This window comes from Homo sapiens, chromosome 1 (genome assembly GCF_000001405.40).
Source record: "Homo sapiens chromosome 1, GRCh38.p14 Primary Assembly".
Classification (NCBI taxonomy): Eukaryota; Metazoa; Chordata; class Mammalia; order Primates; family Hominidae; genus Homo; species Homo sapiens.
In genome coordinates, this window is record NC_000001.11 from 52,780,907 (window position 1) to 52,806,193 (window position 25,287).

The window sequence follows — 25,287 nt, forward strand, 5'->3', positions numbered from 1 at the left end:
CTGAGGCAGGTGGGTCACTTGGGGCCAGGAGTTCTAGACCAGCCTGGCCAACATGGCGAAACCCCATCTCTACTAAAAATACAAAAAATTAGCCAAATGTGGTGGTGCACGCCAGTAATCCCAGCTACTCAGGAGGCTGAGGCATGAGGAACCTGGGAGGCCGAGTTTACAGTGAGCCGAGATCGTGCCACTGCACTCCAGCATGAGCAACAGAGCAAGACTCTCTCAAAACAACAACAACAACAACAACCAAAGTTGTCCTTTAACCACTAGAAGTCTAGGATGTTGCTTATTTAAAAAGCTTATTTGTGGCCAGGCATGGTGGCTCACACCTGTAATCCCAGTACTTTGGGAAGCCAAGGCAGGCAGATCACTTGAGCTCAGGAGTTCAAGACCAGCCTGGGCAACATGGCAAAACCCCATCTCTACAAAAATTACAAAAATTAGCCAGCTGTGGTGGCACGCACCTGTAGTCCCAGCTACATGGGACACTGAGGCGGGAGAATTGCTCAAGCCAGGGAGGCAGAGGTTACAGCGAGCTGAGATCATGCTACCACACTCCAACCTGGGTGACAGGAGTGAAAACTTGTCTTAAAAGAGAAAAAAAAAAGATATTTGTAAACCCCACTCCCAAAAATTTAGATTCAGTAGGGCTAGATGAGGCACAGGAATCTACGTTTTAATAAGCCCCCAAGATAATTCCAAGGTAATTCTTACGCACGTTCAATTTTGAAAACCAATGAGCTTAGGACTCTATTATATTTGGCACCTCATTTAGTGGGCACAATTCCAAGAGATGGGTTTTATCTTCTGTTTTACAGATAATGAAATTGAGGTTCTGTGACGTTAAGTAATAATAAGTCAGTGGCAGAGCCACAACTTGATATCCTACATATCTTAAATTCTGAGAATGAGGCGCTTGGGTAGGAACCAGTAACATTTTAGTCCTTAGGATATTATCACCAACACCTGTCACTCCTTTTATATATATCAGAGGATGTTGGCACTTGGTATATGAATTGTCTTTTTTTTTTTGTTTTGATTACTGTGAACTGAGCAACAGAAGACTAGATCTCTAGTCTTGATCTGAAATATTCATTCAGACATTCAGAGAATGATTCAGAGATAAATGGAAGAATATAGGCTATTTATTTATTTATTTATTTGTTTATTTATTGAGGTAGCATCTCACTCTGTCACCCATGCTGGAGTGCAGTGGCATGATCATGGCTCACTGCAGCCTCGACCTCCCTCCTGGGCTCAAATGATCCCCCTTCCTCAGCCTCCAGAGTGGCTGGAACTACAAGCTAATAACACCATGCCTGGCTGAATTTTAAAATTTGTTATTATTATTATTGGTTTTTTTGTAGTGATGGAAACCCACTGTGTTGCCCAGGCTGGTCTCAAATTCCTGTGCTCAAGTGATTCTCCCGCTTTGGCCTCCCAAAGTGTTGGGATTATAGGAGTGAGCCACTTTTATTTTATTTTTTTAAAGATACAAGATCTAGCTGTATTGCCCAAGCTGGAGTGCAGTGGTGCACGATCATAGTTCACTGCAACTGCAACCTCAAACTCTTGAGCTCAGCAATCTTCTGCCTCAACCTCTCGAATGGCTGGGAGTATAGGTGTGTGCCATCACACCTGGCTAATTTTTCAAATTTTTAAAAATAAATTTATTTATTTATTTTTGAGACAGTGCCTCACTCTGTCACCCAGGCTGAAGTGCAGTAGTATGATCATAGCTCACTGTAACCTCAAACTCCAGGGCTCGAGCAATCCTCCTGCCTAAGCCTCCTGAGTAGCTAGGACTACAGGCCCATGCAACCACACCGGGCTAATTTTGTAGAGACGGGGGTCACACTATGTTACACAGGCTAATTTTAAAAAAATTTTTTGTAGAGGCAGGTTCTTGCTGTGTTGCCCAGGCTAGTCTCGAATTCCTGACCTCAAGTGATCCTCCTGCCTTGAGCTCCCAAAGTCCTGTAATTACAGGCATGAGCCACTGCACCTAGCCTAGGCAATTCCTTTTTTTTTTTTTGAGACTGAGTCTCACCCTATTGCCCAGGATGGTGTGCAGTGGTGCTATCTCAGCTCACTGCAACCTCTGCTTCCCATGTTCAAGCGATTCTTCTGCCTCAGCCTCCCGAGTAGCTGAGATTATAGGCACCTGCCACCACGCCCAGCTAATTTTTATATTTTTAGTAGAGACGAGGTTTCACCATGTTGGCCAGGCTGGTCTCGAACTCCTGATCTCAAGTGATCCACCTGCCTCGGCCTCCCAAAGTGCTGGGATTACAGGCATGAGCCACCATGCCTGGCCAAGGCAATTCTTATAGGGAATTTTGCTGCAAAGGGGAGCAAAGAAAAAAGATGGTAATCGTTTGAGGAAGTGAGATTAAAAGAGGGATGTTTTGATTTTTTTTAATAGGAAAAATATATCTTGTTTGTATCCTGATATGAATGATCCAGTACAGAATAAAAAATTGATATAGGAGTAGGAGGGGTGAACAGCTTCCTTTCAGTAGACAAGAAAATAATTATCTAACATATACATGAAGGGATTTGTTTTACAAAGGACCCCAAAAGATTCCTTATGGTAGCAGGCAGGAAGGTGACATGTATATGTACGTATGCTGGTAAGTAGGATACATGTGGTAATGAGAATCTGAAGTTCTTTTCTGGTTGCTTCAGTTTTCTTTCTTTCTTTTTTTTTTTTTTTTTCTCTTTTCCTTAGAGGCAGGGTCTCACTCTGTCCCCCAGGCAGAAGTGCAGTGGCACAACCATGGCTCACTACAGGCTCTGCCTCCCAGGGCTCAGGTGATCCTCCCACCTCAGCCTCCCAAGTAGATGGGACTATAGGCGTGTACTACCATGCCCAGCTTTATATATATATATATATACACACACACGTATATGTATACATACGTGTGTATATGTACATACACGTGTGTGTGTATGTACATACACGTGTGTGTATATGTACATACACGTGTGTGTATATACATCTATACATATATGTGTATATACATCTATACATATATGTATATATACACATACACACATATACACACACACACACATATATATATATAGAGAGAGAGAGAGATGGAGTTTCACCGTTGTCATCCAGGCTTGAGTGCAATGGTGTGCTCTTGGCTCACTGCAACCTCTGCCTCCTGGGTTAAAGCAGTTCTCCTGCTTCAGCCTCCCGAGTAGCTGGGATTACAGGCACGTGCCACCATGCCCAGCTACTTTCTGTATTTTTAGTAGAGATGGGGTTTCACCATGTTGGCCAGGCTGGTCTCAAACTCCTGACCTCAAGTGATCCACCTGCCTTGGCCTCCCAGAGTGCTGGGATTACAGGCATGAGCCACCATGCCTGGCCCCCAGTGAATTTTTGTATTGTTTTATACAGATGGGGTTTCACCATGTTGCCCAGGCTGGCAGTTTTCTTAGTGTAGTTGAAAGCAAGATCTTCAGCTGATAGTGAGGAATGGGAAGGATTCGTTGGGGGTTTGAGGGCAGAGGAAAAAGTGAGAAATAGTTGTCTAGGCCAGGGAAAGTGAATGGATTTTATTGCACTTTAACCTCAGCAGTGTTCTCAAGGAACTGAAGATTGAAATTTGAGAGTGGAGTGTGCTCTATTCAAGTCAGTGAGAATTTATTCACTGCCTTCCATATAACAGGCACCATAAGTAGGTCTTGGAAATACAAAGATGAGTGACCTGTGTGAAAAAGATTCATTAACTTTACAGAAAACCCCTAGATATGAATAGCTGAATACCTGCCTTGGTGAGGTAGACTGGAACTATTTGTGAGTAACTGCTATATCCTAGGCTCTTTGCACATGAGGATGAAAAAGAAAATTATGACATCTTTGAAATTACTATAGACCAACAAAATAATTCTGCTCTGTGAAGAGGGCTTGTATTTATAAGGTGAATTAAGAGGACTAATTTTTTTTTTCCAGCTTGTGGTTACTGGGATGAGAAACCACCCTATGAATTTGCCAGTGCAACTGGCTGCAAGCGCCTGTGTATTTAACTTAACCAAGCAGGATCTTGCTGCAGGGATGCCTGTCCGACTCCTGGCTGATGTGACCCATTTGCTGCTCAAAGCCATGGAACATTTTCCCAATCACCAGCAGGTAAGCTTATGTGAATTCCTTTTCAAATAGTCCTTGTAGTGTCTTCTACTCATCTCCTACAGTTCAGTTTAATAGACCAAGGCTGGAAATTCAAATGCCTTTGGAGGCTGTGGTATGACTGAGTGTAAGAAAACAGAGAAGTGGACACCAAAGGAGTATATTCCGTGCCTAAAAGCACCTAAATCCATATATTGGGGGACATAATACAAGCCATACAAAACTCATCTTCCTCCTAGATCTTGAGTTTGTGATCATTTCAGCAGATAGGCACAGAGGATCTGTTCTGGGCTAGGCACTATCAAATGCTGGGATACATAAATGATTAAGACATGTCTTTTCCATTTCTAGCAGTATGGTAGAAGATGTAACCTGTCTTATACTCAGGATGAATACTAAAAATGTTGCTTAATTTTTTTGTTTTTTAAACAGAGTCTTGCTCTGTTGCCAGGCCAGAGTGCAGTGGCGCGATCTCAACTCACTGCAACCTCCACTTCCCGGGTTCAAGTGATTCTCCTGCCTCAGCCTCCCAAGTAGCTGGGATTACAGGCGCGCACCACCACACCCAACTAATTTTTGTATTCTTAGTAGAGACAAGGTTTCAACATGTTGGTGAGGATAGTCTCCATCTCTTGTCTTTGTGATCCGCCCACCTTAACTTCTGAAAATGCTGGGATTACAGCCACCTCACCCGGCCCTTAACTTTTTTTTAGGTCATTTGAAATTGACCATTGAGTTGGCAAGTTAGTAAAAAATACTCAGAGGCTCAAAACCAAGTAAAAATGGCAAGCCACATTGGTGAGTAGATCATTGAAGCCAGCTTCCCTCATTGAGGGCAGTTGCCAAACTAGATGAAATTTAGGCTTTGATTTTCGTGGCCTCTGGAAGCCCGTCAGACAGAAGACTCCTAGCATAAACTATGACTTCCTCCCCAGAGATACATTCTTACAAAAAGGGAGCTATAAATAAGTCTGCCTATGTTAGAGAAACAACAAAAGAATAAGCCCAAAGAAAGTAGAAGGAAGGAATAACAAAGATGAAAGTAAAAATTAATAAAATAAAAAACATACCATTATTTTAGAGAGGATCAATAATTCCAAGAATTGGTTCTTTGAACATATTTAATAGTATTGAAAATTCACTGGCAAAGTTGATCAGGGAAAAATGAGAAAGGATGCATATAAAATAAATAAGGTTAGGAAATGGGGTGGGGGAAATGGGAAGTCACTGTAATGGTTATAGAGTTTCCTTCTGGGGTGATGGAAATGTTTGGGATGATGAAATTGTGATGGTTGCACAACTCTGTGACTCTACTAAAATCCATCAAATTGTACACTTTAAGTAGGTGAATCGTATGGTACATGAACTGTATCTCAATAAAGTCGTTATATATTTTTAAAAACAATGTTCACAGTAGGCCAGGCACGGTGGCTCACGCCTGTAATCCCTGCACTTTGGGAGGCTGAAATAGGAGGATCACTTGAGCCCAGGAGTTCAAGACCAACTTGGGCAACATAGTGAGGCCCTGTCTCTACAGATAATAAAAAAATTAACCTGGCATGGTGGCACACCATCTGTGGTCCCAACTACTCAGGAGCCTAAAGAGTACATGCCTAAAAGCATTTAAATCCATATGTTGAGGAATTGTTAGAGCCAGGCACTCAAGGCTGCCATGAACTGTGATCAAGCCACTGTACTCCAGCCTGTGCAACAGAGCAAGACCTTGTCTCAAAACAAACAAACAAAAAAGAATGTTCGAGCCGGGCGTTGTGGCTCACACCTGTAATCCCAGCACTTTGGGAGGCCAAGGCAGGCATATCACATGAGGTCAGGAGTTTGAGACCAGCCTGACCAACATGGAGAAACCCTATCCCTACTAAAAATACAATATTAGCTGGGCGTGGTGGCGCATGCTTATAATCCCAGCTACTCGGGAGGCTGAGGCAGGAGAATCGCTTGAACCCGGGAGGGGGAGGTTGCAGTGAGCCAAGATCGCACCATTGAACTCCAGCTTGGGCAACAAGAGCGAAACTCTTGTCTCAAAAAAAAAAAGTGTTCACAGTAGCACTGTGTAACTGTGTATAATGATAACATATTGGAAACACCAAACACCAAATGTCCATCAGCCTGTGTTTAGTCACACATCGGAATACTTAGAAGCAGTGAATGATGAATGAATTACAATTCCAGATGACAACCTTGATCAATCTCAATTACAAATTGGGTATTTTAAAAAATGCAGAAGAGTACATACATGTGATTCAATTTACTTACAGTTCAGAAACTTGCAAAACTATACGACACATTATTTAGGAATATAAATACATGTTTTGATAAAAAGCAAGGGACTGTTAAACACAAAATTTAGCTATTAGTTCCTCTGAGGGGAAATGAGAGGGAAAAGAGGGGGCCAAATGGGGCTTGCTAATAGTACTATTGGTAATAGATTCTTTTTCTGAAACTGAGTGGTAGGTACACCTACACAGCAGTAGTATTCACTGTATTATTATTCCTTACACTTTTGCTACTCAAAGTGTGTTCTGCTAACCAGCTGCGCTGGCATCCCCTGCAAGCTTGTTAGTAAGGCAGAATCTCAAGATAACAGACTTACAGAATCATCTATATCAAGACTCCAAGTGATTTGTATACACATTAAAGTTTGAGAAGCACTGTCTTATGCCTACATATATTTTGTAAATATTTTTCTGTATTTCTTATTTAGTAAAAACATTTAAAAACAACTCAATTAAAAAAAAAAAACCCTGGGAATTCACCTATTAGTTGGAAATGCAAATACTGTAAACTATTTTGAAATTTTTTTAGCTATTTTAACTAAGTGCTACAGAAAGTTGAGAATGATTAATTCTGCTGGCTGGATTGGTGTATAGACAAAGGTACCAGGCAGGATTTCAAAGGGGAAGTGACATTGACTCACATCTTAAAAAATGAATAAGATTTCCCATGGAGAAAAGCAGAAAAACAGTGGACCTATGCCTACATATATTTTGTAAATATATATGTGAATGTGCAGGCATTCCAGGAAGGGCAGGTTGCATGTGACTGGAGTGTAGGAAGGGCAGTGTAGGATGAGGCCAGTGATATCCAGGTTAGGGCCAGATTTGATGAATGCCAGCATAGGAAAGTTTGATTCCACATTGAATTCCTTAAAAAAAAAATTTAAAGAAAATTCCTAAATACTTGCATAGTTCAGACTGTAGCCCCCAAAATCAAAACTCTAGCTGGGCGGAAATTGAAGACTACAGCAAAAGTCTTTCTCTTTTCCATTTCTACCTGTGGTGCTTTTCAAATGCAGTAAGGCATAGATTCAGTGAAATTTATCTTCTGTTATTAAGTTAGCCATTAGTTCAGTTAAGCTTAGCAGCTCTTTGTTGAAGTCAGACTATGTGCACCTGTGCCAAGTTCTAAGCATTCAGATACAGAAACACATAATGTAGCATGGTGTAGCAAGTACTAAGAGAAACAAGTGCTGTTGGGAGCCCAGGAGGAGCACTTAGGACAATTTGAAAATTAGAGGCTGTGCACTGTGGCTTGCCTTTAATCCCAGCACTTTGGGAGGCTGAAGCAGGAGGATCACTTGAGTGCCAGGAGTTTGAGGCTGCAGTGAGCTATGATTGTGCCGCTGCATTCCAGCCTGGGTGACAGAGCGAGACCCTGTCTCAAAAACAAACAAACAAACAAAAACTAAGAAGTCTTCCTCAATGAGGTAATATCTTTGCCCTGAGTTGAATTGTGAAGGAAAATTAGGAGTTTTCCAGCTAAAGGAACAGGAGGGATGGGCTTTCTAAGTGGAGGTAATTAGAATAGCATTATTGCCTTTCTTACTTCTATGGATCCTGTACAAATTATCGTGTTTATTTGGGAGGAGAAAAATGGTGAAGGAGGAAAGTTATGCCACTAATCAATCTGCCAGATTATGATTCAGATTTAAATGGATCCTCAAGCAGTGTCTGTCCTAGCACCTTGACCATCTGTGATGAATATAAAACTTCCTGAGAAACCCTCTTAATTAATTACACTTGTACCTAACCCATTCCATATCATTCACCTGGGATTCACTACCACTTTGCCTTTTCTCTGCCATTTCTTCTATTATGTAATCTTTCTGCATCTTCCATGAAGCAAATAGGGTGTTCATTTTATATCTGTTTTTCTATTTCTTGACTAGCTGTATATATCCCATTAACTGACTTTTGCCTTCTATGATTGAATTCCCTATATTAAGTCTTTTTAGATAAGAAATCTTCCAATCGTACACAAAAACCTTTAAAAAATATTAAAGCCATTTGTCCAAATAAAAAAATTTTAGTAGTATATACACTGTGACTTTTTTTTAAGCCCACACTTATTTTCTTATTTTGCTTCACAGGAATAACTTGAATCACCTTTCTATTATGATGGTGCACCTTGACTGTGTCAATTAATTATTCATATTTTCATTTACTCTTGTTTAATTGTGCTGGTCTAAACTTTATTTAAAAGATAGAGCCAAGTCTGTCAGTCACTCTTTAGAGGCCAGTGTGTAGAACACTACCCACCGTGTACTCTATGTTAGAGTCTTCCAAGCAGGCTCGTCTATATTTGATGCTATGTCAACAGGTAAAACTTTCAACCACTGTTTTTGTCATGCTCTCTATCTCAAAAAATACAGAAGACAAGGTTACTTCATAGGCCACCAGAAAGGAGATTAGCTGTAATTATCCTATTTATGGCCCTATTTCTCATCTAATGGAAAATAAAAAAAAGGTACAAGTAAACTTGTATGGGTCTCCTGGAACTCAGCCTTTCAATACTAGGGGGGCAGATAAAGATTGTAAGAAATAACTGGTGTTTCATCAGTCTTCTTCTTTTTTTTTTTTTATGGAAGCTACCATGGTTAAAATATAACAAAGTGATATTTTATTTAGGATTTTTTTCTTCCTTTGATTCTTTAGTTACAGAAGAATTGCCTCCTTTCACTTTGCAGTGACCGGATCCTTCAAGATGTTCCATTTAACAGGCAAGTGATAGCTCTAGAACTTAAAGTGGGGCAAAACAGAATGTTAGAAATCTGTCTTGGGTCATTTCTTACCATTTAGGATATCCCTTTTATAAGATTAATTGAATAGATAGAATTGTGGGTTATTTTATAGAATGCTAAATCTACTTTCTTTAATTTAGTGGCTTTGACATTCATGATAGCAAATTGACCCATGTTTTCATAGTCCTTTGCTTAGGAATTTATGTTGGTTATAGTTTTCAAGATATCCACATGATATTGTAAGCTATGAACATTATTATCCCCATTCAAAAGATAAAAAAACTAAGGCATATATAGAGATTCATTGTCTTGACTATGGCTTTGTGTCTAATAACTGCAAGATTAGTAAGATGCAGGTTTGGCCAGGCACAGTGGCTCATGCCTATAATCCCAGCGCTTTAGGAGGCCAAAGCGGGAGGATCCCCATGTCAGGAGTTCGAGACCAGCCTGGTGAAACCCTGTCTCTACTAAAGATACAAAAAATTAGCCAGGTGTGGTGGCGCACGCCTGGAATCCCAGCTACTCGGGAGACTGAGGCAGGAGAATCGTTTGAACGGAGGCGGCGGTTGCAGTGAGCCAAGATCGCGCCATTGCACTCCAGCCTGGGTGACAGGGCAAGACTGTCTCAAAAAAAAAAAAAAAAAAAAAAAAAGACATAGGTCTTCTAATTCTAGGTCCAGTGTTCTTTTTTTTTTTTTTTTTTTGTAACATGTCTGTTATTATTATCATTATTTGGTATTGAATTATGGAAGAAACTTTTTAAGGAGAGGTTAAGGGAGGCCATATAACTAGATTCCATTAAATATAAAGGGGTCCTTTGTTTTCTAAGATGTAATTTTGGAGCTTAAATTTTTTTTTTATTTTACTATTTTAAGATATAATTTTTCTTTTTCTTTTTTTTGAGAAAGGGTCTCACTCTGTCACCCAGGCTGGAGTGCAGTGGTGCAATCTCAGCTCACTGCAACCTCCTCCTCCTGAGTTTAAGTGATTCTCCTACCTGAGCTAACTGAGTAGCTGGGATTACAGGCATGTGCCACCACGCTGGGCTAATTTTTGTATTTTTTGGTACAGACAGGGTTTCACCACGTTGGCCATGCAGGTCTCAAACTCCTGACCTCAAGTAATCCACCCACCTCAGCCTCCCAAAGTGCTGGGATTACAGGCGTGAGCCACCATGCCCAGTCTTAAAATATAATTTTTTAACAATGGCATTTTGAAAAGGAAACTTATACTTCATTATTTAATGAAAAGTATGTTTCTCCAGCAGCAATTTTTTATTTTATTTTATTTTTTTTTTGAGATGGAATTTCACTCTTGTTGTCCAGGCTGGAGTGCAATGGCGTGATCTCGGCTCACTGCAACCTCCACTACCTGGGTTCAAGCAATTCTCCTGCTTTAGCCTCCCAAATAGCTGGGATTACAGGCATGTGCCATCATACCCGGCTAATTTTTGTATTTTTAGTAGAGATGGGGTTTCACCATGTTGGCCAGGCTGGTCTCGAACTCCTGACCTCAGGTAATCCACCCACCTCGGCCTCCCAAATTGCTGGAATTACAGGCATGAGCCACTGCGCCTGGCCTTCAAGCAGCAATTTTACTGTGATTTACTTTTATTTGAGTAACAGAGTACACTTATCTGGCATGGCTAAGGAAAGAGGTGTTCCATTTTTTATTTGAAATAAACAATTTGGATAAAAATATAACTACGTATATCTCATGTAGATTGCTAATTTTATTTTGGGAATATTGAACCTCTGTGCTCATCATCGTAACAAAGTCTAAGGTAGGAAAGACATAGTCACTCTCCTAAAGATTATATTCTACTCCTTAATATTTTCTTAATGGGCTAGATTAGAAATACTCTAGGCCTATGGGCTATAGAGTCTCAGTTGCAGCTATTTAACTCTGCCATTGTCCCTCAAAAGCAGCCATAGGTAATATGTAAGCAAATGGATATGGCTGTGTTCCAACAGAACTTTACAAAACAGGCAGCCAGATCCACAGGCTATGTAGTTTGCTTTCCTCTCATCTAGCCAATGCACTCTGCTAGAATTGACCTTCTTTGTGGTCAGAGGCTATGACTGATTCATCTCTTTGTCTCTAGTGCTTGGGTGGATATTTAGTGGATTGATTGATGGATGAATGAATGAATGAATGAATGAATATTACATGAGACAGAATTTTTCATAGAAGAGGTGTTAATGAAATGCATTGTGCCCCCACACAAGGAAGGAAAGATTCTGTCTGACTGATGATCATTAAGGATTTCCTGTTAGTTATGGCACTTGAGATAAAAACGGTAAAAACTAGCATGTATGAAGCACTTACTACTGCCAGGCAGACATTGTGCTAAAGTGTTTTATGTAAGCTTATTCAGTCCTCAGAACAATCCTGTGAAATTATTACTCTTATGATCTTCATTTTACAGATGAGGAAATAGAGACACAGAAAGGATTAGTAACTTGCCCAAGGTAATAAGATAGTAAGTAGCAGAGTCTAGATTTAAATTCAGTCTGACTCCAGGGCCTCCATTTTTTCATCCATGCTATGTTGTTTTGAAGATGAGAGCTGTTTGAATTGTTTTATGTTGTTGAAACTGCATGAATAAAGGCACAGAGAAAGTCAATTATATTAGTAAAAATTAACTTTTATAAAGAACTTATTTTGTGCCAAATTCTGTACTAAGTCTTAAGCTTCTATGTGATATCATTTAATCCTCATGACAACCCTATGGAATAGGTTTTTATTTTATTTATTTATTTATTTATTGAGACAGAGTTTCGCTCTTGTTGCCCAGGCTAGAGTGCAATAGCAAGATCTCGGCTCACTGCAACCTCTGCTTCCCAGGTTCAAGCAATTCTCCTGCCTCAGTCTCCTGAGTAGCTGTGACTACAGATGTGCGCCGCTACGCAAGGCTAATTTTGTATTTTTAGTAGAGGCGGGGTTTCACCATGTTGGCCAGGCTGGTCTCAAACTCCTGACCTCAGGTGATCTGCCTGCCTTGGCCTCCCAAAGTGCTGGGATTACAGGTGTGAGCCAGCACACCCAGCCTGGAATAAGTTTTTGTTACTATTTTACAGATAAGAATGTTGAAGTTCAGCGAGGTTAAGGAATTTGGTCAGAGTCCCAAAGTTAGGCCAGGCGCAGTGGCTCATGGAGAATGTAATCCCAGCACTTTGGGAGGCCAAGACAAGTGGATCACTTGAGGTCAGGAGTTCTAGAGCAGCCTGGCCAACATGGTGAAACGCTGTCTCTACTAAAAATACAAAAAATTAGCCAGGTGTGGTGGCGGCTCCTAGCTACTTAGGAGGCTGAGGCAGGAGAATCCTGGAGGCAGAGGTTGAGGGAGCCAAAATTGTGCCACTGCACCCCAGCTTGGGCAACAAGAGTGAAACTCCGTCTCAAAAACAAAAAGTTAATAAGTGGTGGAGGTGATATTGGAATCCAAGCTGACTCCAAAGTGTATGATGTTCTTAACAACTTGACTGCATTGCCTCACGATAAAATAATTTATTTTATTGTTATCATTAACATTAAGTAGAACTAGAATTCAGACCCAGAACTGACTTGAGAATCTCTACACTTTACCACTAGCCTGTGTTACCTCATACTTGTGGGCATGTGTGAAGACTAATGAACAATCTGCTTTGCAGAAAGCATAGGGTAGGCAGGAAGAAGCTTGATATGGCCCCACGCTAAAGTCCTAGAATGCTTTGAGTATGGGAGTGACATCATACCTAAGTCCTCGGACAGGTTTCTTTCTTTCTTCCTTTTCTTTCTTTCCTTCCTTCCTTCCTTCCTTCCTTCCTTCCTTTCTTTCCTTTCTTTCCTTTCTTAGTTTTCTTTGTTTTCTTCCTTTCCCTTCCTTTCCTTTCCTTTCATTTCTTCTTTCTTCTTCGTTTTTTGAGATGGAGTCTCACTCTGTCGCCAGGCTGGAGTGCAGTGGCGTGATCTCAGCTCACTGCAGCCTCTGCCTCCCGGGTTCAAGTGATTCTCCTGCCTCAGCCTCCCGAGTAGCTGAGACTATAGGCGCGCACCACCACACCCAGCTAATTTTTTGTATTTTTAGTAGAGACGAGGTTTCACCATGTTTGCCAGGATGGTCTCTATCTCTTGACCTTGTGATCCGCCCACCTCGGCCTCCCAAAGTGCTGGGATTACAGGCGTGAGCCACTGCTCCTGGCCAGAGGTTTATTTCTAATGTGCAGGCACACATTGATTGGAAACTAGTGGAGACAGGGAAGCCAATTAGGAATATATTGTAGAAGAATGCAAGTAGTGGGCCTAATCAGAAATGGCCTTGGAAACAGAAAGAAGGTAATAGTAAATTTAAGAGAAGTTCTACAGTAGTAATCTACCTGAAAATAATCATTCAGTCAACATATATTAAACATTATTTATGTTTCGATCACTGTATTGAGTGCGTGCGTGGCATAAAGGGCTAAATAGGATATATAGTCCCCGCCCTCAAGGAGCTCACAGGCCAAATGGGGATTCAAGTGAGTGTGCAGATGACTGTGGATCTCTGACAGCTATACCTAAAGTACTAAGGAGCTAAGAAGGCAGTGATCAATGTGTCAAAGAAACCACCTCAAAGGCAGTGATATTTGATCTGAGTCTTAAGGATGAAACTGTGGGTAAGATAATCAGATGTATTCCTTGACCTCATCTTGATTTTTCTCCTTGTATCCCACATTGAGTTCTTTGGCAAATCCAGCTCTATCTTCAAAATTTATCCAGAATTCATCCATTTCTCTTCACTTCCATTTCTATCACGTGGAGTAGACTAAAAGTGATTTCTCTCCTGAATTACTGCAGTAGCCTCAGAACTGCTCTCCTGCTTCTGTCCTTGCCCTCCTGGAGTTGATTCTAAACACAGATGATCGAGTAGTCCTGCTCATGTCATATTCCTGCTCAGAAGCCTTCTATGGCTTTCCCTCTCATTCAGAGTAAAAGCTAGTTCCTTAATGATATGGTTTGGCCCTGTGACGCCACCCAAATCTCATGTTAAATTGTAATCACCAGTGCTGGAGGTGGGGCCTGGTGGGAGGTGATTGGATCATGGGGGTGTTTTCTAATGGTTTAGCACCATCCCCCGAGTGCTGTCTTGTGATAGAGTTCTCCCGAGATCTGGTCGTTTAAAAGTGTGTAGCACCTCCGGCTTTGCCCTTCCATCTCCTTCACCCATGTAGGATGTGCCAGTCTCGCCTTCCACCATGATTGCAAGTTTCCTGAGGCCTTCCCAGTGGTGCTTCCTTACAGCCTGTGGAACCATGAGCCAATTAAACCTTTTTTCTTTATAAATTACCCGGTCTCAGGTAGTTATTTATAGCAATGCAAGAATGGACTAATAACTAGACTCCATGTGATCTGGTGCCTCTGTTACCTCTCACTTTATCTCTCAGAACTCTTCCCTTGTTCTCTCTGCTCTGGCCTCACTGACCTCCATGCTATTTGTTGACATTTCTATGCCCATACCCACTTCAGGGCTGTTGTATTTCTCCTCCCCTCTGCCTGGAATGCTTGTCCCCTAAATGCCCATATGGTTCTTTCTTACTTCCTCAAAAGTTTCAATGAGGCCTTCCGTAGCCACCCTACATAAAATTTCAACATTTCATATCCTCTTTTCCTGCTTTATTTTTTTCCGTAGCATATGGTCAGTACCTAATCATACTATATATTTTACGTATTTATCTGATTTATTACCTGTCTTCCTCACTAGAATGTAAGCTCTATGAAAGTAGGGACATTTTTCTGTTTTGTTCACTATTCTATCTCCAGCACTAAGAACAATATCTGGCACAAAGCAAGAGTTTAATATATGTTTGTGAATGAATGAATGAATGTTTCTGTTGTGTTAGGTGCTATGAGGAACCCAAAAAATACTTAAATTACAACTATAATATGGAAATCACTATAATTTAGAAATACAGAATAGAAATATGTTATAATTCTAGAAGATGAAATGCCAAATAGTTGGAATGATATTTTCCAAACCCTTCTTTCTTTATGAAATGTTGTCAGAATTAATATTATGGCATCATCTCTAAAACACTAAGTGTAATTGTTACTCTCTACCAGTTAAGAGGAATTTTCCCTTGCCTTTTCATATATTTAAGTTGTAGCATCAGTTCCTAGCTGGAACTCTGAAATTGTGCCTGGGCCTCCACGATTAATTCATGAAACCCTTTTTGTGTTTTCAGGTTTGAAGCAGCCAAGCTTGTCATGCAGTGGCTTTGCAACCATGAGGATCAAAACATGCAAAGGATGGCAGTTGCTATCATTTCTATCCTGGCTGCCAAGGTACCTGAACTCTTGCTGAATAATTTTCTGTAGACAGCTGTTTCTCACTACATTTACTGTTTCCCCCCAAAAGCTGTGTGCCAGAAACATTAGTAAATCTCTCTGCCAGCCTGCTTATTCAAGCTACATTCGATATTGCAGAATTTGGCTGGGCACAGTGATTCACACCCATAATCCCAGCACTTTGGGAGGCCGAGGCAGGCCTCCCAAAAACCGATATGCAGCAGAATTCCAAGTTGATCAGAGATTTTAGTCTCACCTTTGGAGTGAGGTACAGTGAATGATATTAAACTCACATTAATGAGTTCTTGGACATTGAATTTGTTTTTTACTTGCTTGCAGCTTTCTACAGAACAAACTGCACAGCTTGGTACTGAGCTCTTCATTGTCAGGGTAAGTCTATAATCTCCTCCATTCAGGCCACTAGATATTCATGTTTATTGTTTTCAGGCAGTATTGTATATTTTCTGACATTTTTTATATATATATAATTATATATAATATATAATTATATATATATTATATATTATATATAATTATATATTATATATAATGTATAATTATATATTATATATAATATATATAAATATATATATTTTTTATATAAATATATTATATATTTATATATTATATATAAATTTATATATATAAATTTTTATATATTATATATATTTATATATTATATATTGTATATATTTATATATTACATATTGTATATATTTATATATTATATATTATATATTTATATATTATATATTATATATTTATATATTATATATTATATATATTTATATATTATATATAAATTATTTATATATAATATATAAATATATATTATATAATATAAATTTGTATATATAATATATATTTATATTATATATAAAATATTTATATTATATATAAAATATAATATAAATATATACATATAATATATATATTATATATTTATAATTATATATTATATATAATACATATAATATATAATATATAATACATATATATCATATATGAAATATATATCATATATTATACATATTATATATAACATATATATTATATATCATATATGATATATATATTATATATGATATATAATATGTATAATATATAAAAATATATATATATATTTTTTTTTAGACAGAGTCTCGCACTGTCGCCCAGGCTGGGAGTGCAGTGGTACGATCTCGGCTCACTGAAAGCTCCGCTTCCCAGGTTCACGCCATTCTCCTGCCTCAGCCTCCCGAGTAGCTGGGACTACAGGCGCCTGCCACCATGCCCGGCTAATTTTTTTGTATTTTTAGTAGAGTCAGGGTTTCACCATGTTAGCCAGGATGGTCTCGATCTCCTGACCTTGTGATCCGCCCACCTCGGCCTCCCAAAGTGCTGGGATTACAGGCGTGAGCCACCGTGCCCGGCCAACATTTTATATTTTAATAAAAATTTTTTGTGGCTAGGCATGCGGTGACCCACACCTGTAATCCCAGCACTTTGGGAGGCCAAGGCAGGAGGGGATCACTTGAGGCCAGGAGTTCAAGAACAGTCTGGGCAATCTAATGGGACTCCTTCTCTACCAAAAAAAAAAAAAATTGGACATTGTGGCACATGCCCGTGGTTCCAACTACTCAAGAGGCTGAGGTGGGAGGATCACTTGAGCCCAGGAGGTCAAGTCTGCAGTGAGCCGTGATCATGTCACTGCACTCCAGCCTGGGTGATGGAGTGAGACCCGTTCTCAAAACAAACAACAAAAAATTTTTTTTTGGTTATTTGTAAAGAAGTGAATTTATTTCTTTTCATATATGCAGCTTTACTCCTTAACAGAAATGGAAAAAGCCCTGACCTAGGAGTCAGATGACCTAGGATCTAGCTTGTAAACTCACTTTGTGAATTTGGGAAAATTACTTGAACCATTGGGGTCTACATAAGTGTTAAGATCCTATCTAAGGCCAAGCACAGTGGTTATGCCTGTAATCCCAGCATTTTGGGAGGCCAAGGCAGGAGGGTTGCTTGAGCCCAGGAGTTCAAGACCAGCCTGAGCAATATGAGACCCCATCTATACAAATAATTTAAAAATTAGCCAGCCATGGTAGCACATGTCTGTGGTCCCAGCTACGCAAGAGGCTGAGGTGGAAGAATTGCTTAAGCCCAAGTGGTCAAAGTTGCAGTTAGCCGTGATGACGCCACTGCACTCCAGCCTGGGTGACAGAGCAAGACCCTGTCTCCAAAAATACAAAACACCTATCTAATTCTAAAACTCTGTGATTTTTGTTATTTATATAGAAAATGTAGAGACTCTGTTACAGGCATAAGGTTGTGCTGTATGCTTTGGGGAAGCAGATACATGATTTTGCTTGGTTACAATCAGTTGAGGAAATAAGACTAGTAAACCACGAAAACTTTAAACAGCTTTAAAGGGAGTAGATATAAACAATGTCTTAGGGAAGACTTAGAGGCAAAAAGTATATTTAAACATGCCTGTTAAAATCCTGGCATGAGGTGTTTGAATAGTAATACTACATGGAAAAGTCAAATAAGAGACTCCCTTTTTCCATGACATAAATTATGTATGTAATGAGAAAGTAAACCATTCATTTGATAAATATGTATAAAGTACCCATGATATCAAATGAATGATACTTGCTACCTTACTAGATGTTAGGGAATTTACACTGAATTATAATTATGTAATTATAATTCACACTGAGTTATATCTATAAATTCTACCCATAACAGTGCAATAGAAAAAAAATAGCTATGTAGATATGGTTGTAACAAAATCTAAAAAGTATAATAATAGAGATAAGAATGAAAAAAATAGGCCGGGCATGGTGGGTCACATCTGTAATGCCAGCAATCTGGGAGGCCGAGGCGGGTGGATCACAAGGTCAGGAGATCGAGACCATCCTGGCTAATGCAGTGAAACCCCGTCTCTACTAAAAATACAAAAAATTAGCCAGGTGTGGTGGCAGGCGCCTGTAGTCCCAGCTACTCGGGAGGCTGAGGCAGGAGAATGATGTGAACCCAGGAGGTGGAGCTTCCAATGAGCCGAGATAATGCCACTGCACTCCAGCCTGGTCGACAGAGCAAGGCTCTGTCTCAAAAAAAAAAAACAAAAGAAAGAAAAAAATAGCTGGGCACAGTGGCCCACGCCTGTAATTTGGGAGGTTGAGGTGGGCGGATCACGAGGTCAGGAGTTCGACACCAGCCTCATGGTGTCAAACATGGTGAAACCCCATCTCTACTTAAAAATACAAAAATTAGCCAGGTGTGGTGGTACGCATCTGTAATCCCAGCCACTCAAGAGGCTAAGGCAGGAGAATCGCTTGAATCGGGAAGGTGGAGGTTGCAGTGAGCCGAGACTGGGCCACTGCACTCCAGCCTGGCCAAGAGAGTGAGACTCCGTCTCAAAAAAAGAAGAAAAAGGAAAAAAAGTAATGTTATAAAGAGAGAGAAGGCTATTCGGGAATAATGAAAAGGGTAGGAATTCTGGAGTTGACATATCTGGATTTATTTTCAGTTATGTCTCTTACTAGCCATGTATTTTGGGCAAATCACAGTTTTCTTTGGGGTGATAAAAAGGACTTAATACAGTTATTATGAAGATTAAATGAAAAGAAAAGCTCATGCTTGTAATCCCAGAACTTTGGGAGGCTGAGGTGGGAGGATCACTTAAAGCCAGGAGTTTGAGACCAGCATGGTCAACATAGCAAGATTCTGGCTCTAATAAAAAAAAAAAAATTAGCTGGGCTTGGTGACATGCACCTGTGGTCTCAGCTACTCAGGAGGTTGAAGCAAGAGGATCGCTTGAGCTTGGGAGTTCAAGTCTACAGCGAACTATAATTGTGTCACTGCACTCCAGCCTGAGTGATAGAGTGAGATTCCATGTCAAAAAAAAAAAAAGAAAAATGATTAACTGAGGTAGTATATGCTAAGTACGTAACACTAAATATAATATACATTAGATAAGTAGAAAAAGATGCTTATTTTGTTTATTTTACTGTTTTCAGGGGTGACAGTTTTAAAAAATGACTTCTTATTGCTATATATGTACCTCAGTAATTTTGGTATCTTCAAAGGTTTTTTAGGAAATCTACTCATATGCTTTGGGAGGAAATCGAGCTTAAAGAAGGAATTAGTAGGCTGGGCACAGTGGCTCATGCCTGTAATCCTAGCACTTTGGGAGGCCGGGGTGGGTGGATTACCTGAGATCAGGAGTTCGAGACCAGTGTGGCCAACATGGTGAAACGCCATCTCTACTAAAAATATAAAAATTAGCCAGGTGTGGTGGCATGCGCCTGTAATCCCAGCTACTTGGGAGGCTGAGACAGAGAATCACTTGAACCCCGGGGGGGTGGAGGTCGCAGTGAGCTGAGATTGCGCCACTTCACTCCAGCCTGGGCAAAACAGCAAGACTCTGTCCCAAAAAAATTAAAAAAAAGGAATTAGTAATAGTAGTGATACCTAACTATACCTACATGTTTATGTTTCTTCAGTTTTTTTTCCTGAATTGTGTATAGCCACTAGTATTATGTTCATTAATGTTTTCTTATATCTGTTTTAACAGAGCTTCCTTTTTTACCTCCAAAAGTATAATCTAAAAATTGAATTATGGATGCCTTATGTAGTTTTAAAACCACTTACTTTTCAAACATAAATTTTTTAGGGTAAAGCTATGATAGAACTAATTTGCACCTGGAATTTCAAAGCTATTATCTTCTTGTTTTTTTGAAAGGGAGGAAGGGGAAAAGGAAATAAAAAGGGAAGGGGAAAGGGGGAAAAATAAGAAAAAGGAAGACAGAGGTACTGCAGCATCTGCTCTCAGGGAAGGCTGAGGAGGGAGGGGCTATTATCTTATTTATAGTCAACATAGACTAATTCTTTTATTGTATGTAGTTTTTCCTTTCTTTTTTTTCTTAAGGAAAACTTGGAGTTGGATAGATTAGGTCTTCCTATTCTTACTTTCTCTGACTAAATTGACTATGAACAAATTAGTTAATATTTCTCAGACTCAATTTTCTCTCCTAAAAAATGGGAATAACAGTACTACAATATAGAATATAATTTGCTAATCCTTAATAAATGTTAGCTTCATTTGCCCTTCTTTTCCTTTGCCTTTTTAATTCTAGAATCTAAAATAAGTATATGCTGTGACTGAATAAGATAGTTGACCGAAGTTTTAATCATTTTGCCTATGTTATTTATGGGTGATTACATTATAGATATGATCAGAATAATATAGAAGTATTTATGAAAATCTTATACATTTTTCTTGAAGAAAAGTTCAGTCCAAGGGGCTGTTTGTTATAAGTACCTTTACAGGAAATGCTTTAAGCCATGAGACTAATCCTCATGGACTTGGGGTTATTAATCACCACAAATTGTAATAACAGTTCAAAAGTGAAAACTTATTTCTGTTTTTTTTTTTTTCAGCAACTTCTTCAAATAGTGAAGCAGAAAACCAATCAAAATTCAGTGGACACTACATTGAAATTTACTTTGAGTGCACTTTGGAACCTCACAGATGAATCTCCAACCACTTGTAGACACTTTATTGAAAACCAAGGGTTAGAACTCTTCATGAGGGTTCTAGAGGTTAGAATGGGAATTTAGCTTACAGTTTTGATATTTATTAATTTATTTACTTTAGCATTTATTTTATATTTGGTTCTTCAGGTAATTATAGGTTTCTTTTTCTTTTTACAGTCTTTCCCAACTGAGTCATCCATTCAGCAGAAAGTTCTAGGACTTTTGGTAAGATATAAGCACTTCCTGCTAAGTTCCAAGCTATATTTATTTTCTGTCTGAAGTAACACATTGAAAGTTGCAGCTCTGCAGTGGCAGTATCATAGCCCCTTATCTAAGGCACGGTCATTGCTAATTGAGAACTATTCCCAATACCTCACCATGATGACTTGAAATATGGTCTGCAATAGCAATTTCTTTCTTTCTCTCTTTTTTTTTTTTTTTTTTTTTTTTTGAGACAGGGTCTCACTTTGTTGCCCAGGCTGGAGTGCAGTGGTGTGATCACAGCTCACTGCAGCCTCGACCTCCTGCTGAGCTCAAGCAGTTCCCCCAACTCAGTCTCCCTAGTAGGTGGGACTATAGGTGTGCACCACAATGCCCAGCTAATTTTTGTATTTTTTGTAGAGATGGGGTTTTGCCATGTTGCCCAGGATGGTCTCAAACTCCTGAGCTCAAGCAATCCTCCTACCTCGGCCTCCCAAAGTGCTGGGATTATAGGCATGAGCTGCCTGGTCAGCAGTGGCAATTTTTGACAATTTCTAGGCGAATGAACAAAAAAAGAAAGAGAGAGAGAGAGAGAGAAAGAAAGAAAGTTGCTGCTGTGATACTTGTAAACAATGACATTGGAAAATAAATGTTATTAAATTTAAAAAGACTATAAAAATATATCACGAGGTCAGGAGATCACGACCATCCTGGCTAACACGGTGAAACCCCGTCTCTACTAAAAATACAAAAAATTAGCTGGGTGCGGTGGCACGCGCCTGTAGTCCTAGTTACTCCGGAGGCTGAGGCAGGAGAATTGCTTGAACCCAGGAGGTGGAGATTGCAGTGAGCCAAGATCACACCACTGCACTCCAGCCTGGGCAACAGAGCAAGACTCCGTCTCAAAAAAAACCCTACAACTTTATTTTTTTTTTATTTTTTATTTTTGCCACTATATATATATATATACACATATATATATACATATATATATATATATATACACACATATATATATACACACATATATATATATATACACATATATATATACACACATATATATATATATACACATATATATATATACACACACATATATATATATACACACATATATATATACACACACACATATATATATATATATACACACACACACACATATATATATATATATATACACATATATATACATATAATCCCATCTACTTGGGAGGCTGAGGCAGGAGAATTGCTTGAATCTGGGAGGCGGAGGTTGCAGTGAGCTGAGACCACGCCATTGCACTCCAGCCTGGACAATAAGAGCGAAACTCCATCTCAAAAGAAAAAAAAAAAAAACCACAACACATATATGTGTGTGTGTGTGTATATATATATTTATATATAAAGATTTTTGCCACATTAAAAGGAAAAATATAATACGCATATGCTTCTTTATATTTTTTGGTATTGTACAAAGTTTCACACTGAGCATGTTTTACTTTTTTAAATTTATTTTTGAGACAGAGTCTGTCACTCTGTTGCCCATTGTGCAGTGCAGTGGCACAATCACGGCTCACTGCAGCCTTGACCTGCCAGACTCAAGCAATCTTCTCACCTTAGCCTCCAGAGTAGCTAGGACTATAGGCATGTGCCACCATGCCCAGCTTATTTGTTTATTTATTTTTGTAGATTTGCAGTCTCACCATGTTGCCCAGGCTGGTGTCAAATTCCTGGGCTCAAGCAGTCTTCCTGCCTTGGCCTCCCAAAGTGCTGGGATTACAGGCATGAGCCACCACACTTGGCCTTGTGTTTCACTTTTATAATTGGTAAACCAGATCTCATTAAAAAATGTTATCAGACTGGACACAGTGACTCATGCCTGTAATCCCAACACTTTGGAAGGATGAGGTGAGAGAATTGCTTGAGCCTAGGAGTTTGAGACCAGCCTGGGCAACGAAGCACAACCCCATCTCTACAAAAAGTGAAATAAGAAAATTAGCTGAACATGGTGACATGTACCTGTAGTCCCAGCTAGTGGGGAGGCTCAGGCAGGAGGATCACTTGACCCTAGGAGTTTGAGGGCTGCAGTGAGCTGTGCTCATCCTACTGCACTCCAGCCTGGGTGACAGAGTGAGACCCAGTCTCTTAAAAAAAAAAGTCATTAACCTACAAGTGTTCTTAGAGTCTGTGTTTGATAGTTAATGATTACTACTTAAAGACTGCTTACGAAGGCCGAGTATAGTGGCTCAAGCCTGTAATCCCAGCACTTTGGGAGGGTGAGGCAGGCGGGTCACCTGAGGTCAGGAGTTTGAGACCAGCCTGCCCAACATAGTGAAACCCCATGTCTATTAAAAATACAAAAGTTAGCCAGGTGTGCTGGTACATGCCTATAATCCTAGCTACTCAGGAGGCTGAGGCATGAGAATCGCTTGAACCTGGGAGGTGGAGGTTGCTGTGAGCCGAGATTGCACCATTGCACTCTAGCCTGGGCAACAGGGTGAGACGGTCTCAGAAAAAAAAACAAAAAACAAAAGCCTGCTTACAAATCACATATTTCTTAACATATTGGATATGGATTAAAGTAAGCCCTCTAGGATTTTGAGACAAAGGTAAAGATCAAATGTTTTATCAGCTTAATTGCTGTAACAGGCAAAGTGTCTATGTGGCAAAAGCCATTTTATTTTATTTTTTATTTTTGAAAAAAATATTGGTCAGGTGCAGTGGCTCATGTCTGTAATCCCAGCACTTTGGGAGGCTGAGACAGGCAGATCACCTGAGGTCGGGAGTTCGAGACCAGCCTGACCAAAATGGAGAAGTCTCGTTTCTACTAAAAATACAAAATTAGCCGGGCGTGGTGGCGCATGTCTGTAATCCCAGCTACTCGAGAGGCTGAGGCAGGAGAATCACTTGAACCCGGGAGGCGGGGGTTGCTGTGAGCCGAGATCGCACCATTGCACTCCAGCCTGGGCAACAAGAGCAAAACTCTGTCTCAAAAAAAAAAAAAAAAAAAAAAATGGAACACTTTGCAAATTTACATGTATCCCTGCACAGGGGTCATGCTAATCTTCACTGTACCGTTCCAATTTTAGTATATATGCTGTCAAGTGAGCACAAAAAAGCAGACCTCTGCTCTCAAGGAATTAGATTATGGGAGGCATAGATTAGTGAGTTAAAAAATGTAAATTGGAGCTTGTTTTCCACATGCAAGCAGTGAGGAGATGGATTTTTAGGAAAGCTGAGGACTGCCATTTAAGGAAGACCTATCTGTTGTTGTAGCCTTCATTATATAAGGTAGAAAATGGAAAACAACCTAAATGTCCAGTAATAGAGGAATTATTAAATAAATTACAGCATTTGATTGTTTTTTCAGGGTTAATATGATTATTTGATACAGAAGTTGGCTCAGGTCATCTGAAACGGAAAGGTGAAATTTATTTTAAATATTTGTGGGTTGGGTGCAGTGGCTCATGCCTGTAATCCCAGCACTTTGGGAGGCTGAGGTGGGTGGATCACGTGCGGTCAGGAGTTCAAGACCAGCCTAGCCAACATGGTGAAACCCCGTTTCCACTGAAAATACAAAAATTAGCCAGCCGTGGTGGCCCATGCCTGTCCCAGCTACTCGGAAAGCTGAGGCAGGAGAATTGCTTGAACCTGGGAGGCAGAGGCTGCAGTGAACCAAGATCACGCCACTGTACTCCAAGCCTGGGCAACAGAGCAAAACTCTGTCTCAGAAAACAAAAACAAAACAAAACAAAAAAGACTTCATCTCAAAAAAAAACCTATATATTTTTTTAAATTTCCAAAGGAATACATGTTGTTATAACTAGTGAAACAGTGCAAAACTGTATTTAACATCCTTAAGGCTCTGTCTCCAACCTTTCGTCATTTTTATCTCCATGAAGTTATTAATATTAATATAACTTTATATGTTTCCTTCCATATTTTTCTCTGTTACCTTGTGATTAAATTTTTTCAATAATTTAATTTGAGATATTTATTCTAATTTAATTATTTATGGTCAGAGAATATGCTTTGTTTGGTTTGAGTCCTTCTGAATTTATTGAGACTTGTGAATGGCCAAGGATATGGTCTA

General features: G+C 39.6%; 1 protein-coding gene and 1 pseudogene across 3 annotated transcripts in view; one reads left to right on the forward strand and one right to left on the reverse strand.

The window, feature by feature from the left end:
• The window catches only part of ZYG11B (zyg-11 family member B, cell cycle regulator), a 100,884-nt gene that overhangs the window by 54,454 nt on the left and 21,143 nt on the right, over positions 1 to 25,287 (forward strand). For 2 of the 3 annotated variants that reach the window (NM_001441954.1, NM_024646.3), the window contains 6 exons: positions 3,971 to 4,147; positions 9,097 to 9,161; positions 15,386 to 15,485; positions 15,828 to 15,878; positions 20,913 to 21,074; positions 21,186 to 21,233. In NM_001441954.1, the coding sequence (NP_001428883.1) occupies positions 3,971 to 4,147; positions 9,097 to 9,161; positions 15,386 to 15,485; positions 15,828 to 15,878; positions 20,913 to 21,074; positions 21,186 to 21,233 (603 nt within the window). Of the gene's footprint in view, positions 1 to 3,970; positions 4,148 to 9,096; positions 9,162 to 15,385; positions 15,486 to 15,827; positions 15,879 to 20,912; positions 21,075 to 21,185; positions 21,234 to 24,564; positions 24,619 to 25,287 lie in introns of all 3 variants that reach the window. The other variant, NR_199864.1, reaches the window with a different exon arrangement.
• Positions 24,202 to 24,306, reverse strand: RNU6-969P (RNA, U6 small nuclear 969, pseudogene; annotated as a pseudogene).